The 12,028-nt window shown below is 37.6% G+C and overlaps 1 protein-coding gene across 7 annotated transcripts in view; it reads left to right on the top strand.

Annotated features, from left to right (window-relative positions):
• THADA (THADA armadillo repeat containing) overlaps positions 1-12,028 on the top strand; it is a 365,188-nt gene that overhangs the window by 64,626 nt on the left and 288,534 nt on the right. For all 7 annotated transcript variants that reach the window (NR_073394.2, NR_144316.2, NM_001345924.2 and 4 more), the window contains one exon: positions 3,425-3,534. Coding sequence is in view for 5 of the 7 variants with exons in the window: in NM_001345924.2 (NP_001332853.1) it covers positions 3,425-3,534 (110 nt within the window). In the remaining 2 variants the exon portion in view is untranslated. The remainder of the gene's footprint in view (positions 1-3,424; positions 3,535-12,028) is intronic.

Genomic DNA, 12,028 nt, shown 5'->3' with positions numbered 1-12,028 from the left:
CCTTGTCTGTGTATGCTCATTCATTGATATGAAAAGACCTAGCAAAGTATCTGGCAGGTAGCTGGCACGCACTTATTTAGTGTTGGTCTATTCATTCTAGTCTCCCAGCCTCTTCTCATGTTAATTACCCTCTTTCATTTTGGTCCACCCAAGTACTGTAATAGCCTGTTCAAGTTCTGGATGTGAAGTGTTTTCTCATTATTCCAGTGCAAAAGGATCTTTCATTTTTTGGAACTTATGCTTCTAATGGACACCAGACAGCATGTTGGTTTTCTTTGCCAAAGTGAACTAAAAGCCTGCTGAGGACAGGCATCTTGTTTTCATCTTTTCTATCTACCACAGCATTAAGCTGTGAAGCATTTTACATGGTGCTAAAGAAAGACTGTTATCTAACAGGAATTTTACATTATCTTCAAAAGGAAAAAAGATAATAAGCCTAGGTATTAGCTATGTGGGTTTATTCGGAAATTATTAAGTGCAAAATGAAAGGAAAAACTGCCTATATCTCAGTTTTGTCCTTAGAACATCAATCTGTTTTCTGTGCCCAGGAATACCTAGGGTTGAGGTCCATCCTTGAGAAGACCACCCACTGGTCATACTTCTGAGGTCTTTGATTTTTATTATATGCTTTTTGTTTTAGACCTCTTCGAAGGGAGTTTGAATAAAGGAAGCAATGAAAATCTGATGTTTGCCTAAGGAGTAAATTATGAACTGTTGTAAATCCACAGAGAAGCACTTTGTCAGTAATGACAAAGTTTATGTTTTCCTGAAGTATGTTTTAATATCTGCAACATTTTGGGAAAAAAATTAAGGAAGTTAGAGAAACCTCATCTCATTGACTTTCTGTTTTTATTTTCTGTCTTTAAGTACCTTCTTAGAAATCTCTTGTTTCTCTAATAATCGAAATGATGGTCATTACAAATAAGCTAACTGGTGGTTCTTCTAGTCCTTATTTTGTATTAGTATTATTTTTTTAAGCTGGCTATCATGAGTTACTTATTTTATAGGATTATCGGGCTTCAGCCCTATTTTAGGGGTTTAATTCGGATTTAAGCCTTGATAATTCTGTTCAAACAATGCTCTGAAATTACCACATTGAAGACAAAATAAGGCTTACCTGACTGTGGCTCTTGACAACTGGTAGTATGTGGTCTTTAAAAGATACTAAAATCAAGAGTATCATCAGATCTTTACAGGAAAACTAACTGAAGAACATGACCTGTCACTCTTTGGGATACTAAAGAGTTAGAATTTTTTTTAAAAAAATTATTATATACTGCTTTTTTGGTTCTTTGTTAGTCTCCTATCTGATTCTTGTTTCTCCATGTGTATCACTTATTATATCTTTATAATCAGATGTACTTTGAGTGTGGATTACGTCTTTAGTTTTCCTCTATTTAGAACCCTAGTCAGAACTCATATTGAACTGAATTGGATTATAGGTTCTGGGCCTGTTCTGAGCTTTTCAGTTTATTACTTATTTTAATACAACAACCTGTGTCCTAAATACTGGTATTATCTCTAGTTTATGGATGAGGAAACTGAGATACTTGCCCATGATGACATGTTTAACTACTTATTCTACTGTTTATCATCTCTAATGTGTGCAGAATACTAATCTAGTCCCTATGCTGAGATAGGAGGTGTTTCTAGGTAAGCATATCTGAGATATCTTGGGACAACTTGTCTTTTACCATCCTGTGATCTGTTGGGGAGACCTGGATCAAGAGATAGCTGGTTACAGCTTTGGTCCTGAGTTTTATACAAAATCTTGATTTTTAAAAGACAATAGTTACTAAATCTAATGGTATAAAAGCCTAATCAGCTTAAAAGTTAATTCTATTCAAAACCTTAGTCAACAATGAATTGTCCGTTTTGTTTTCTTTAAAATAAATAATCTGGCCGGCCACAGTGGTTCATGCCTGTAGTTAACAGCTACTCGGGAGGCTGATGCAGAAGGACTCCTTGGGGCCCAAGAGTTGGAGACTGTAGTGCACAGTGATCACACCTGTGAATAGCCACTGTACTTAAGCCGAGGCAACATAGCAAGACCCTGTCTCTACAAAAAATTAAAAAATTAGGTGGGTTTGGTGACATACACTTACAGTCCTAGCTGCTCAGGAGGCTAAGGTGGGAGTATTACTGTAACCTCAAACTCCTTGAGCCTAGGAGTTCGAGGTTACAGTGAGCTATGATTGTGCCACTGCACTCCAGCCTGGGTGATAAAGCAAGACCAGACCCTGTTTTTTTTTTTTTAAAAAAAGTCATATTTGTTATTTGTCTAATCTTGTGTGGAGAAAGACAGCATGTAGGAAAGCCACTGGGTGACATTCTGGCAAATTCCATGGTTCTGTCTTGAAGTGAAGCCTAGTAGTTTTTCAGGAGGTCCTTTGCACCACATCTTGCATTGTCATTAACAATTTTATGTCTCTAAAAGGTAATACGGGTTATTTTTTAATGGGTATGGAGTTTCCATTTGGGAAGATGAAAAGTTCTCTAAATGCATGATGGTGATGGTTGTACAAAAGTATGAATGTACTTATGCCACTTAATTGTACATTTAAAAAGGGTTACAATGATAAATATTATGTATATTTTACCACAATAAAAAAGAAAAAAAATTTTAAAAGAAGGAAAAAAGGTAATTATTTCACCTAGACCTATGTGTGTGAGTGTTGTCGCTTTGTGTGATTTTCTGTTGGAGTTGAATAACATGAGCTATAACAGAAAACATACTGAGGTTTGTGAATGTGACATAGGAAGGCAGTTCTAGTGTAGCAGTTAAAGATGGTCAACTCTGGAGCCAGACTGCTTGGCTTCATGTTCTGGTTCCATTGCTTTCTTGCTGTCTGACCTTGGATAAGTTTCTTAGCCTTTCTTGGCCTCAGTTTTCCAATTGTGAAGTAGAGATAATGATCGTACTTATTTCATGGAATTACTGTGAGGATTAGATGAGCTATTGTTAAAAAAAAATACTTAAAATGGCTGGGCACAGTGGCTCACGCATGTAATCCCAGCACTTTGGGAGACCAAGGTGGGCAGATCACCTGAGGTCAGGAGTTAGAGACCAGCCTGGCCAACATGGTGAAACCCATCTCTACTAAAAATACAAAAATTAGCCAGGCGTGGTGGCAGGTGCCTGTAATCCCAGCTACTTGGGAGGCTGAGGCAGGAGAATCACTTGAACCCAGGAGGTGGAGGTTGCAGTGAGCTGAGACTGTGCCACTGCACTCCAGCCTGGACAACAGAGCAAAAATCCATCTCAAAAAAAAAAAAAAAAAAAAAAGCTTAAAACATGTTCTGTCATATGGTAAGCGCTAAATGAATGGACCCCTAGACCTGGGTTCTAAACAGTGTTACTGATATAAATACACTTGCGAATGTAAACATAAATCGGACATTTGTTTTTGCTTTTTTTTTAAAGGTAAAAGAAATAGGAGATTACTTTAAACAACACCTTTTGCAGTCCAGGCACAGAGGAGCATTTGAATTGGCTTATACTGGTTTTGTGAAACTCACTGAAGTACTAAACAGGTAAAACAAATATCCTTTTGTGTACGTTTTAAAAAGACTAAATATACAAAGCATATGCTTGGAGTAGAATTTAGTTGTGTCTTTTGAAGTTTAAAAGAATAAGACCTGGTTGACTACAAAACTCTTGGAAGAAATTGTTTTCTTAGGTTTCATTGTATGATTTACTGCAGATAACTGATTGAAACGTCCAAACTGAGTTATTATTCTGTCATTGAAAGGTGATTTGAAGCAAACTCAAAGATTTTGCTAAAAATAGCTTTGAAATTACTGTTTTTTTTTTATTGAATGAAATAAATGTTTTGTCTGTTTGAAAATTACTTGGTGTTTGGAATAAAACAGGCCTTGCAATTTTTGGGGTTTGTATTACAGAAGCACTTAAGGATTTTGGTTTTTTTCTTCATAATTTTATCGTATAGAAAAGTTTAAAAGAACAGTAAGTAGACTGAAAAGTAGAAAATATTTTTTTCCTTTTACCTGGAAAACTACTTAGATAGATTTCATATATTTAACCAAATGTATTTCTTGACATTATAGTTACAGATAATTTCATTCATTCATATAATAGATTTCCTCCAAAGAGCTTGTGGGGAAACCTTAAATTACTTAATGACTAAGTGTTCATGGCAAGTGTTCTCTAAATAAAAGGTAGTATTTTCCAGGAAAACATTTCCATTGCCTGGAAACTTTTTGAAATGAAGCAGAGTTCTGCCAGCCTTGTAGCCTCAGCAAACATTTTATTTTAGGCTGTTAAGACATCTATTCCTTGAATATTTTTGAAACTTTTTTTTTCACATGCCTGGTAAAAACATTTATAAAACATTTTGGCAGTTATGGGCTGCACAGAATGTCTTTAAATGATACTTTTTAAAAAGTCCCTGACATTAAACTGCTGATGTTGAAAATATTTTATCTTTTCAACTTTTTGTTTCCAGTGTAGATATGACTTATGAACTTTTTTTTCCCTCAAAACACAACACACTCCACTCCTATCAAATCAGTTAACAAGAATGTATGAATACCAGCAGTGTGCTTAGTACTGTGCTTGGTTTGGATGATATTATGGTTTTTTTATAAGATGAAGTTCCTGTTATTAAAGAGCTTATGTTTTAGTTTGAGAAATAAGTAGAGATGAAATTCAAAATATTTAACAAAAGGTATGTTGTGAGCACTGACTGGTCAGAACCAACACTGGCTGTATACAGCACCCAGCATCTCTCTGTGTGTGGATGTGTGTGGACTGATTACCAGCCTGGAAGTAAGACCGACACACTTGAACAAGATAAAACTGCCAAATTTTGGGTGAAATTTATAAAACATATAGGAATAGCAGAGAGAGAAAGCAATGGGGATAGGCTGGTAGGGCTTCATGGAAGAGGTGGAATTTGTGCTAATGCATGAGTTGAAAGAAGGAAACATTGTGAGTAAATGTTCAGAGGCTAGAATCAGCAAGGTGAATAAATAAACCTCCTTCCTGTAGTGGTGGAGTTGGTAGGAAATAACCAGGCAAGTTGATAGATTGAGGCCAAATTATAGTGTCTTGGAAATAGATTTACTGTAGCAGGGATGGAGAGAGGCATCAAACATTTTTGCTCTGAAATAGATCATAGGAGGCATCATAGAATGGAGGAATACCAGTAATCTGTGACTCTGGTTCTTAGTTCTGTGTATATTCATTCCATTTATTGGCAATGAGATTGTACAAAAATTAACCTCCCTAACCTTTGATCTCTTCATCTTTAAGGAAAAGGGTATTTGCCCTATTGACAGATCTCTGGCTTTTGTTGTATGAATCAAATAAAATAGATATTTAAGAAGACCTCTTTGCATTATAGAATTTCCTACAAATTTAAAACATGAGATTGATGTTGGTTGTGGGGTTGGCATGTAAAAGCAGTTTTCTGGTTGGAAATGTTAGGTTAGATAGATTGTAATACAGATTATAGTAAGGAGAGCCTGCAATCAGTTATAACAAAGTAGATCTGAGGTGATGAGGGCTTCCTCTTGGGTGGTGGCTCTGGGAATAGAGACAAACATGGGGTTTTAGTTAACTTTTGTCCCCACATAGATAGTAACAACTCCTCACATGATGTATGCTTAGAAGGAAAGCTGTGGACACATTTTATTACATTCATGGTTTTGTATCTCAACAATTTGGGCAGGGCTCAGCTGGGTGATTCTTCCTTAGGGTATTTACTGAGTTCAGTTGGTGGCATTCAGCTGGCAGATGAACTGGTCACAAGGGACCTAAGACAACTTCACTCGCATTTATGGCACCTTGGTGGGACTAGCTAGAAGGCTGGGCCTAGTTGGGACTACATGTAGCCTCTCACCCCAGCATGGTAGTCTTGGGGTTGAAATTCTTATATGGCAGCTTGCTTCCCCCAGAGAGAGTATTCCAAGAGAATCAGCCAGAAGCTGTATGCTCTTTTCTGACCCAGCCTTGGAAGTCTCATTGCATTGCTTTAGTCACATTCCTTTGATTTTAAGTGCATCTTAGGACCAGCCTGGATTCAGTCTACCTTTTGACAGCAAAGTGGCAAGATCATATTGTAGAAGTATACGCAGATAGGAGATGTTGTGGTAGCCATCTTTGAAAAACGCCATCTGCCACATGAACCAACTGAATGTGAATAGTAGAGGTTACTAGGGAGTTCATGGTTGCTTCTGTGATTCTAAGTCTTGGTCACCAGACAAATGGGGTTGATGTTAACAAAACAAAGGAAGTTGAAAGAGGGAATGGTTTGATAAAGATGAGTAAGTTTTTTTGTTTTTTATGTGTTGAGTATGAGATAATGATGGCATACCCTGGTGGAAATACTTAAGTCAGATGTTAGAGATAGGGGATTAGTTTGGGTGATATAACAAAAACAGAGATGTAGATCTGTGAGTTTTCTCCAAAAATATCATAGTAAGATTGCAGTCTTTGGTGGAGAGCATGAAAGGAAAAAAGAACAGAGGTCTAAGGACAGAGGCTTTTGAATAACTGTGGTTGAATGGTACAGTTGAAGGCATTCCGAATAAATGGAGCGGGGAGACTAGGGAATGCCCAATGCCTGGTATCTTAGCCCCTCCTAATCTAGTTTAAAGATTTTCTCATGGCTGTTACTGTTGGCTTTTAACCAACCTGTTAGGAGTTCTCAGCTGTTGCTTTCAAACCAAGTAGTTCTTGATCCCTTTAGAGACATTTCAAATCTGCTGAACAGAATGTTTTGCAGAGAACATCTTTACAGTGTGTGTGGCTTCCTTTTGTTTGGTTTTTATTTTTAAAAGAAAATTTGTTTCTTTTGGAGCCCTTTTGAGAGCGTTTTATAAGCCCTTAAGTTATGAAAAAGTTGTTTAGGCATACAACATTTAAAAAGTTTGCAAAAAGAAATCTGGGCATTCATGAAAATCCACAGAAATGGAGGCCAACTGCTGGCCACCTCTTGAACTACAGCTGTGTTAAGGAAGGAAGCACTTAAAGAGATTAATGGATAAATAACTGAAGAGTTAAACATGACCCACATTGTTTGAATTGGTTTTTAATAGGATTATGCAAAATGTCTTCAAATATAAACTGACTTCACTATTAAACAATCATCTAAGAATAAATAGGGATGGAGACATTGTTACTTTTTCTGGGAATGTTTTGAAAGCAACACTTGCAACACACATAACACAAATAGTGTGTTGAGTTAATTTTCTGTAATCTGATTTTTTTATGTCGTGCTTTCTATTTAGAAGTCAGTGAAATATTCCTGTTCTCCTTAAAAAACATCATTGCTTGCCTGTGCATAATTACTTGTCTAAGCATTTGATTGGAGTGGTTAAGTTTGTTAATGTCATAAAACTCTAAATTCAACTTTTTGGTGACATTCATATTTGCTTGTTTACTTTCTGTGATCTTATTATTTGAAGTCGTTCTTCTGATGAAAATGAACAGACTTCTAGGATGTTAAGTTGGGAATCCAACTTTAATTTGTCCAACCGTAAGATACAAACTTAACTATAAGGGGATAAAATCATTGATTATAATTCTAAATCTAGAAGGGAGATTTATTAGTGCTTGATGTTGTCTTACTCTTCAAATATTCGAATTGCTTTACTTGTAATGTAGCTTAATCTACAGATATTTATTGCAGTAATTATAATCATTTTCACATTATTGGCCTGAAAAAATTAAATTGTGACATTTAGTAGTTTTTGTCATTAAATACTAGTACTGACTCATAGACATCAACAATTCTGTGGACAGAAATCATTTAAATATGTATTTAAACTTTCATCAGTTAATTATAGCTACCATGATTCAAATTCAACAGAAAACTTTTGATGAGCAATTTAAATATAATACTGAAAAAATAATTTCTTCTACCTTTCTGGAGAATGAAAGACCAAGTCTCTAAAGAATATGCAGTTGAGAAATAAATAAATGCAGAATGTAATATATAAGATTTGGGGAAGAGTCATTCAGCTTTGAATGAAAGAATATACAATCTTGTGTAAACTTTATTTTTAATTTAATTTATTTATTTGAGACAGAATCTCTCTGTTGCCAAGGCTGGAGTGCAGTGGCATGATCTTGGCTCATTGCAACTTCTGCCTCCTGGCTTAAGTGATCAGAATCTGTCTCAGCCTCCCAAGTAGCTAGGACTTACGGGTGTCTGCCACCATGCCCAGCTAATTTTTGTATTTTTTGTAGAGATGGGGTTTCGCCATGTTGCTTAGGCTGGTCTCGAACTCCTGGGCTCAAGCAGTATCCCACCTCAGCCTTCCAAAGTGCTGGGATTACGGACATGAGCCACCGCGCCCAGCCTAAACTTTTATTTACATTTCATTTGGGAAATGTGTCTAAATAAGACACTATTTCTCACTGAGTGTCCTATTAATTTTATTTGAAATATGAATAATTAAATAAAGAATAACTAAGAGATGAGCCACCTTGGGGAGCCATATTCTTTTTTTTGTTTTGTTTTGTTGAGATGGAGTCTCGCTGTGTTGCCCAGGCTGGACTGCAGTGGCGCGATCTTGCCTGGGGAGCCATATTCTTTATAGAGAGAAAAATCCTTTTAATTTCCCTTTTCTATTGTGGATTAAAAGAATTTGGAGAAAACTAGAATGTCTTGATGTATACATTCTAAGTGTTTGTTAATGATTCCTGCATTTTTATTTTCATTTTTAAGCCTACTGTAATAGTTGAGTCAGATATTACTGTTTTTCCTCGATATTTGAACACTCATTTAAAAAGTTTTCATAATAACACTTTGTCATTTAGACAATAGCAGAGGGACTTTGTTCTCAGTGAGTAACCTCTATGCCAGCTTTTTAAGTAAAGTTTTAGAATTTTTTTAATATTAATTTTTCTCCTTGATCTTAGGGAATGATTATATTAAATAATTGAGAGAACCAGCTATCTGGTACATCTTCCAATGACTTCTTTTAATCCACTGTATCTTGTCCTTCTCCCCATGGCCCTCTGATTGGTAATTCAATTTAGATTTGGTCATTGTATTATTGCCTGTGCCTGCAGCTAAGTCTTCAAAATAGCCCCCTAATGTTTTAGCCTGCAGTAAGCCTCAATAATGTATGATAGTGGTGAGGGAGGTTAAGATGGCTTCTCTTGATATGTAGCTTTCTAACAGGATTTCATTTGGGCAAATCATTTTTCAGGCTTAAAGTTTCCTGGTGCTTCAGGGTTGTGTTCCTATTTAAAATATACATGCAAACAACCTTCCTGCACACATCTATTAGTGTTTAGTTTCATTGAAATAATAAACATGAACTTTGAAATAATAAATATAATACTTGACCAAAGATTGAATGGAGTTGAATGGGAATTTAGCTTATGAAATAATTAGAGATTGGGAAAATCTCTAAGTTAGAAAAAATAAATCATACTGAAAGAGTTTGAGGAAATGAAGGTGACATTTCTCAGTTAGCAATAGTAATATAAGTTAAAAATAGCTCTGTGCTACTACATGTAGTTGGATGGATGAAGCCATTTAAAAGCCACTTTGTAGTCAGGGAATCGGATTTATTGGTACAAAATAATTGTCTAATGACCAGTTAGTTGGGTATACAGCTTATGTAATTTGATTTTAGTCTGCGGGTTTTATTCTTATCTTAGAATACTTATCCAGTGGGAGTGAGATAGCTCTGTGGATAGGAGTTGGAGTAATCTGTTTATGGAACAATAATTTGCTTCAGTGATCTGCTCAAGACAATACAAAGGCCTGAATAGCAGCTATAGCCTGGCCTGTTCACTTCTGTTACTTTTAGTAGGGGCTTAGGCCATAGCACTTAGCATAGGAAAACAGCAACAACAAACCCCTTACCTTTTTTTTGAGCTGGAGTCTTGCTCTGTCGCCCAGGCTGGAGTGCAGTGGTGCAATCTCGGCTCACTGCAACCTCTGTCTCCCGGGTTCAAGTGAATCTCCCACCTCAGCCTCCCGAGTAGCTGGGATTACAAGAGCAAACCAATATGCCAGGCTAATTTTTTTGTATTTTTATAGAGACTGGGTTTCGCCATGTTGGCCAGGCCAGTCTTGAACTCCTGACCTCAGGTGATCCACCTGCCTCGGCCTCCCAAAGTGCTGGATTACAGGAGTGAGCCACCACGCCCGGCCCTCCCTACCTCTTTTTGTGCATCTGCCTGCCTGCCTGCCTTCTTGTCTGCCTGCCCTCCTGCCCTCTTTCCTTCCCTCTTTCCTTCCTTCTTCCCTCCCTCCCTCCTTTCCTTCCCTTCCTTCCCTCCCTTCCCTACCTTCCCTCCCTTCCCTACCTTCCCTCCCTTCCCTCTCTTTCCTCCCTTCCCTTCCTTCCCTTCCTATCCTTCCCTTCCTTCTCTTCCTTCCCTTCCTTCCCTTCATTCCTTCCCTCCCTTCCCTCCCTTCCCTCCCTTTCCTCCCTTTCCTCCCTTCCTCCCTCCCTTCCTCCCTTCCTTCTTCCCTCCCTCCCTCCCTCCTTCCCTTTCTTTTTTCTTCCCTCCCTCCCTCCTTCTTTAAGAATTTCTACTCTTCATACCGTGCTGCTTTCTAGGTTCTGATTGGGAAAGTCAGGATTTTGGATATAAAAGACTGAGGGAAGCTGGATACATTTTTAGTAAGCTTCCTTGAGAACTGGTAAACCGTTTGTTGTTGTTGTTGTTGATATATATGTGTGTGTGTGTGTGTGTGTGTGTGTGTGTATATATATATACGTATAAATATTTGAGATAGGGTCTTACTCTTTTGCCTAGGCTGGAGCACAGTGGTGTGATATTGGCTCATTGCAGCCTCAACCTCCTGGGCTCAAGCAGTCCTCTCACCTCAGCTTCCTGAGTAGCTGGGACTACAGGTGTGCACCACCATGCCTGGCTAATTTCTTTGTATTTTTTGTAGAGATGGGCTTGTGCCGTGTTGCCCAGGCTGGTCTCCAACTCCTGAGATCAAGAGATCCTCCGGCCTTGGCTTCCCAAAGTGTTGGGATTACAAGCATGAGCCACCGCGCCTGGCCATATTTTGTAGATTAATAACATTTTGTGTTACTGAGTTGTTTATGATGAACCTTGAACCCCTTTTAAGAAGGTTGCAATTTTACAATGTACTCAGAGGCTAAAGACACTGTATATTTTGTATTAATTCGACAAGATAGCCAAATAAAAACAAAATACCTTCAGACAAGAGGCTGTCTGCTTATTTAGTGGAAAGGCATTCACTAACAAAAGCAGGATTTTGGAATTCCCCATAGCTGTGGTTGGTGACTACATAGAGTTGGCTCAAAGAACCAAGGACTGTTTCACTCGAGAACCTTTCTTTTTATATCCTTGCTAGGCCCTGGATTGTGTGATGAAGAACCAAAACAAACAACTAGGGTTTGCTGTATTGTTCTTGGGAACCTTGCATGGTTTCATTTTTACCTCTCAATTCCTTCATTATCATAAACACCAGCAACCCTGGAGTTTTGAAATCACTTCCTTATAAAGAAATCTTTCCTTGCTGGGGAGCAGACAGAAGGTTCATTGAATAGTCAGAACTCTATTCTGCTTTTTATAGGCACAGTGACCTCACTATTGAGAAGACTTAGGGTTCCAGCTCCCTGCTTTTTATACCTGGTTTGTCAATTTTATGCCTACCTGCAGGCACAGCTAATGTGCGCCAGCTGGCACCAGCACTAGTTGCTCCTTAATTATTCAACAAAAGATTTCTTAAACATCTACTGTGTGCCAGATGCTGTGTTTGACTGAGCTCTCTTTGACCATTGAGAATATGATATGGTAGGCCACAGTTACTGTGAACCTAGACATAATTACCAGAGTCTAAATAGGAAACATATAACTGTGGAAGTAAGAGAGGGATGTGAGGACTTGAATAAGGGACTAAGGATTGTATGGGACCATGATGAGGAGTTTTGGGGACATTCTCATCAGGAACTACTTATGTATTTTAGAGTCATTATCTTCTCTATATAACCCAGGGAATGTTCATTGAATTTTCAAAGCATTTTTATTTTATTTTCATTCTAAAGCACTGAGAAT

Source organism: Homo sapiens, chromosome 2 (genome assembly GCF_000001405.40).
Source record: "Homo sapiens chromosome 2, GRCh38.p14 Primary Assembly".
Taxonomy (NCBI): Eukaryota; Metazoa; Chordata; class Mammalia; order Primates; family Hominidae; genus Homo; species Homo sapiens.
This window is presented reverse-complemented; position numbering and strand designations above follow the sequence as displayed.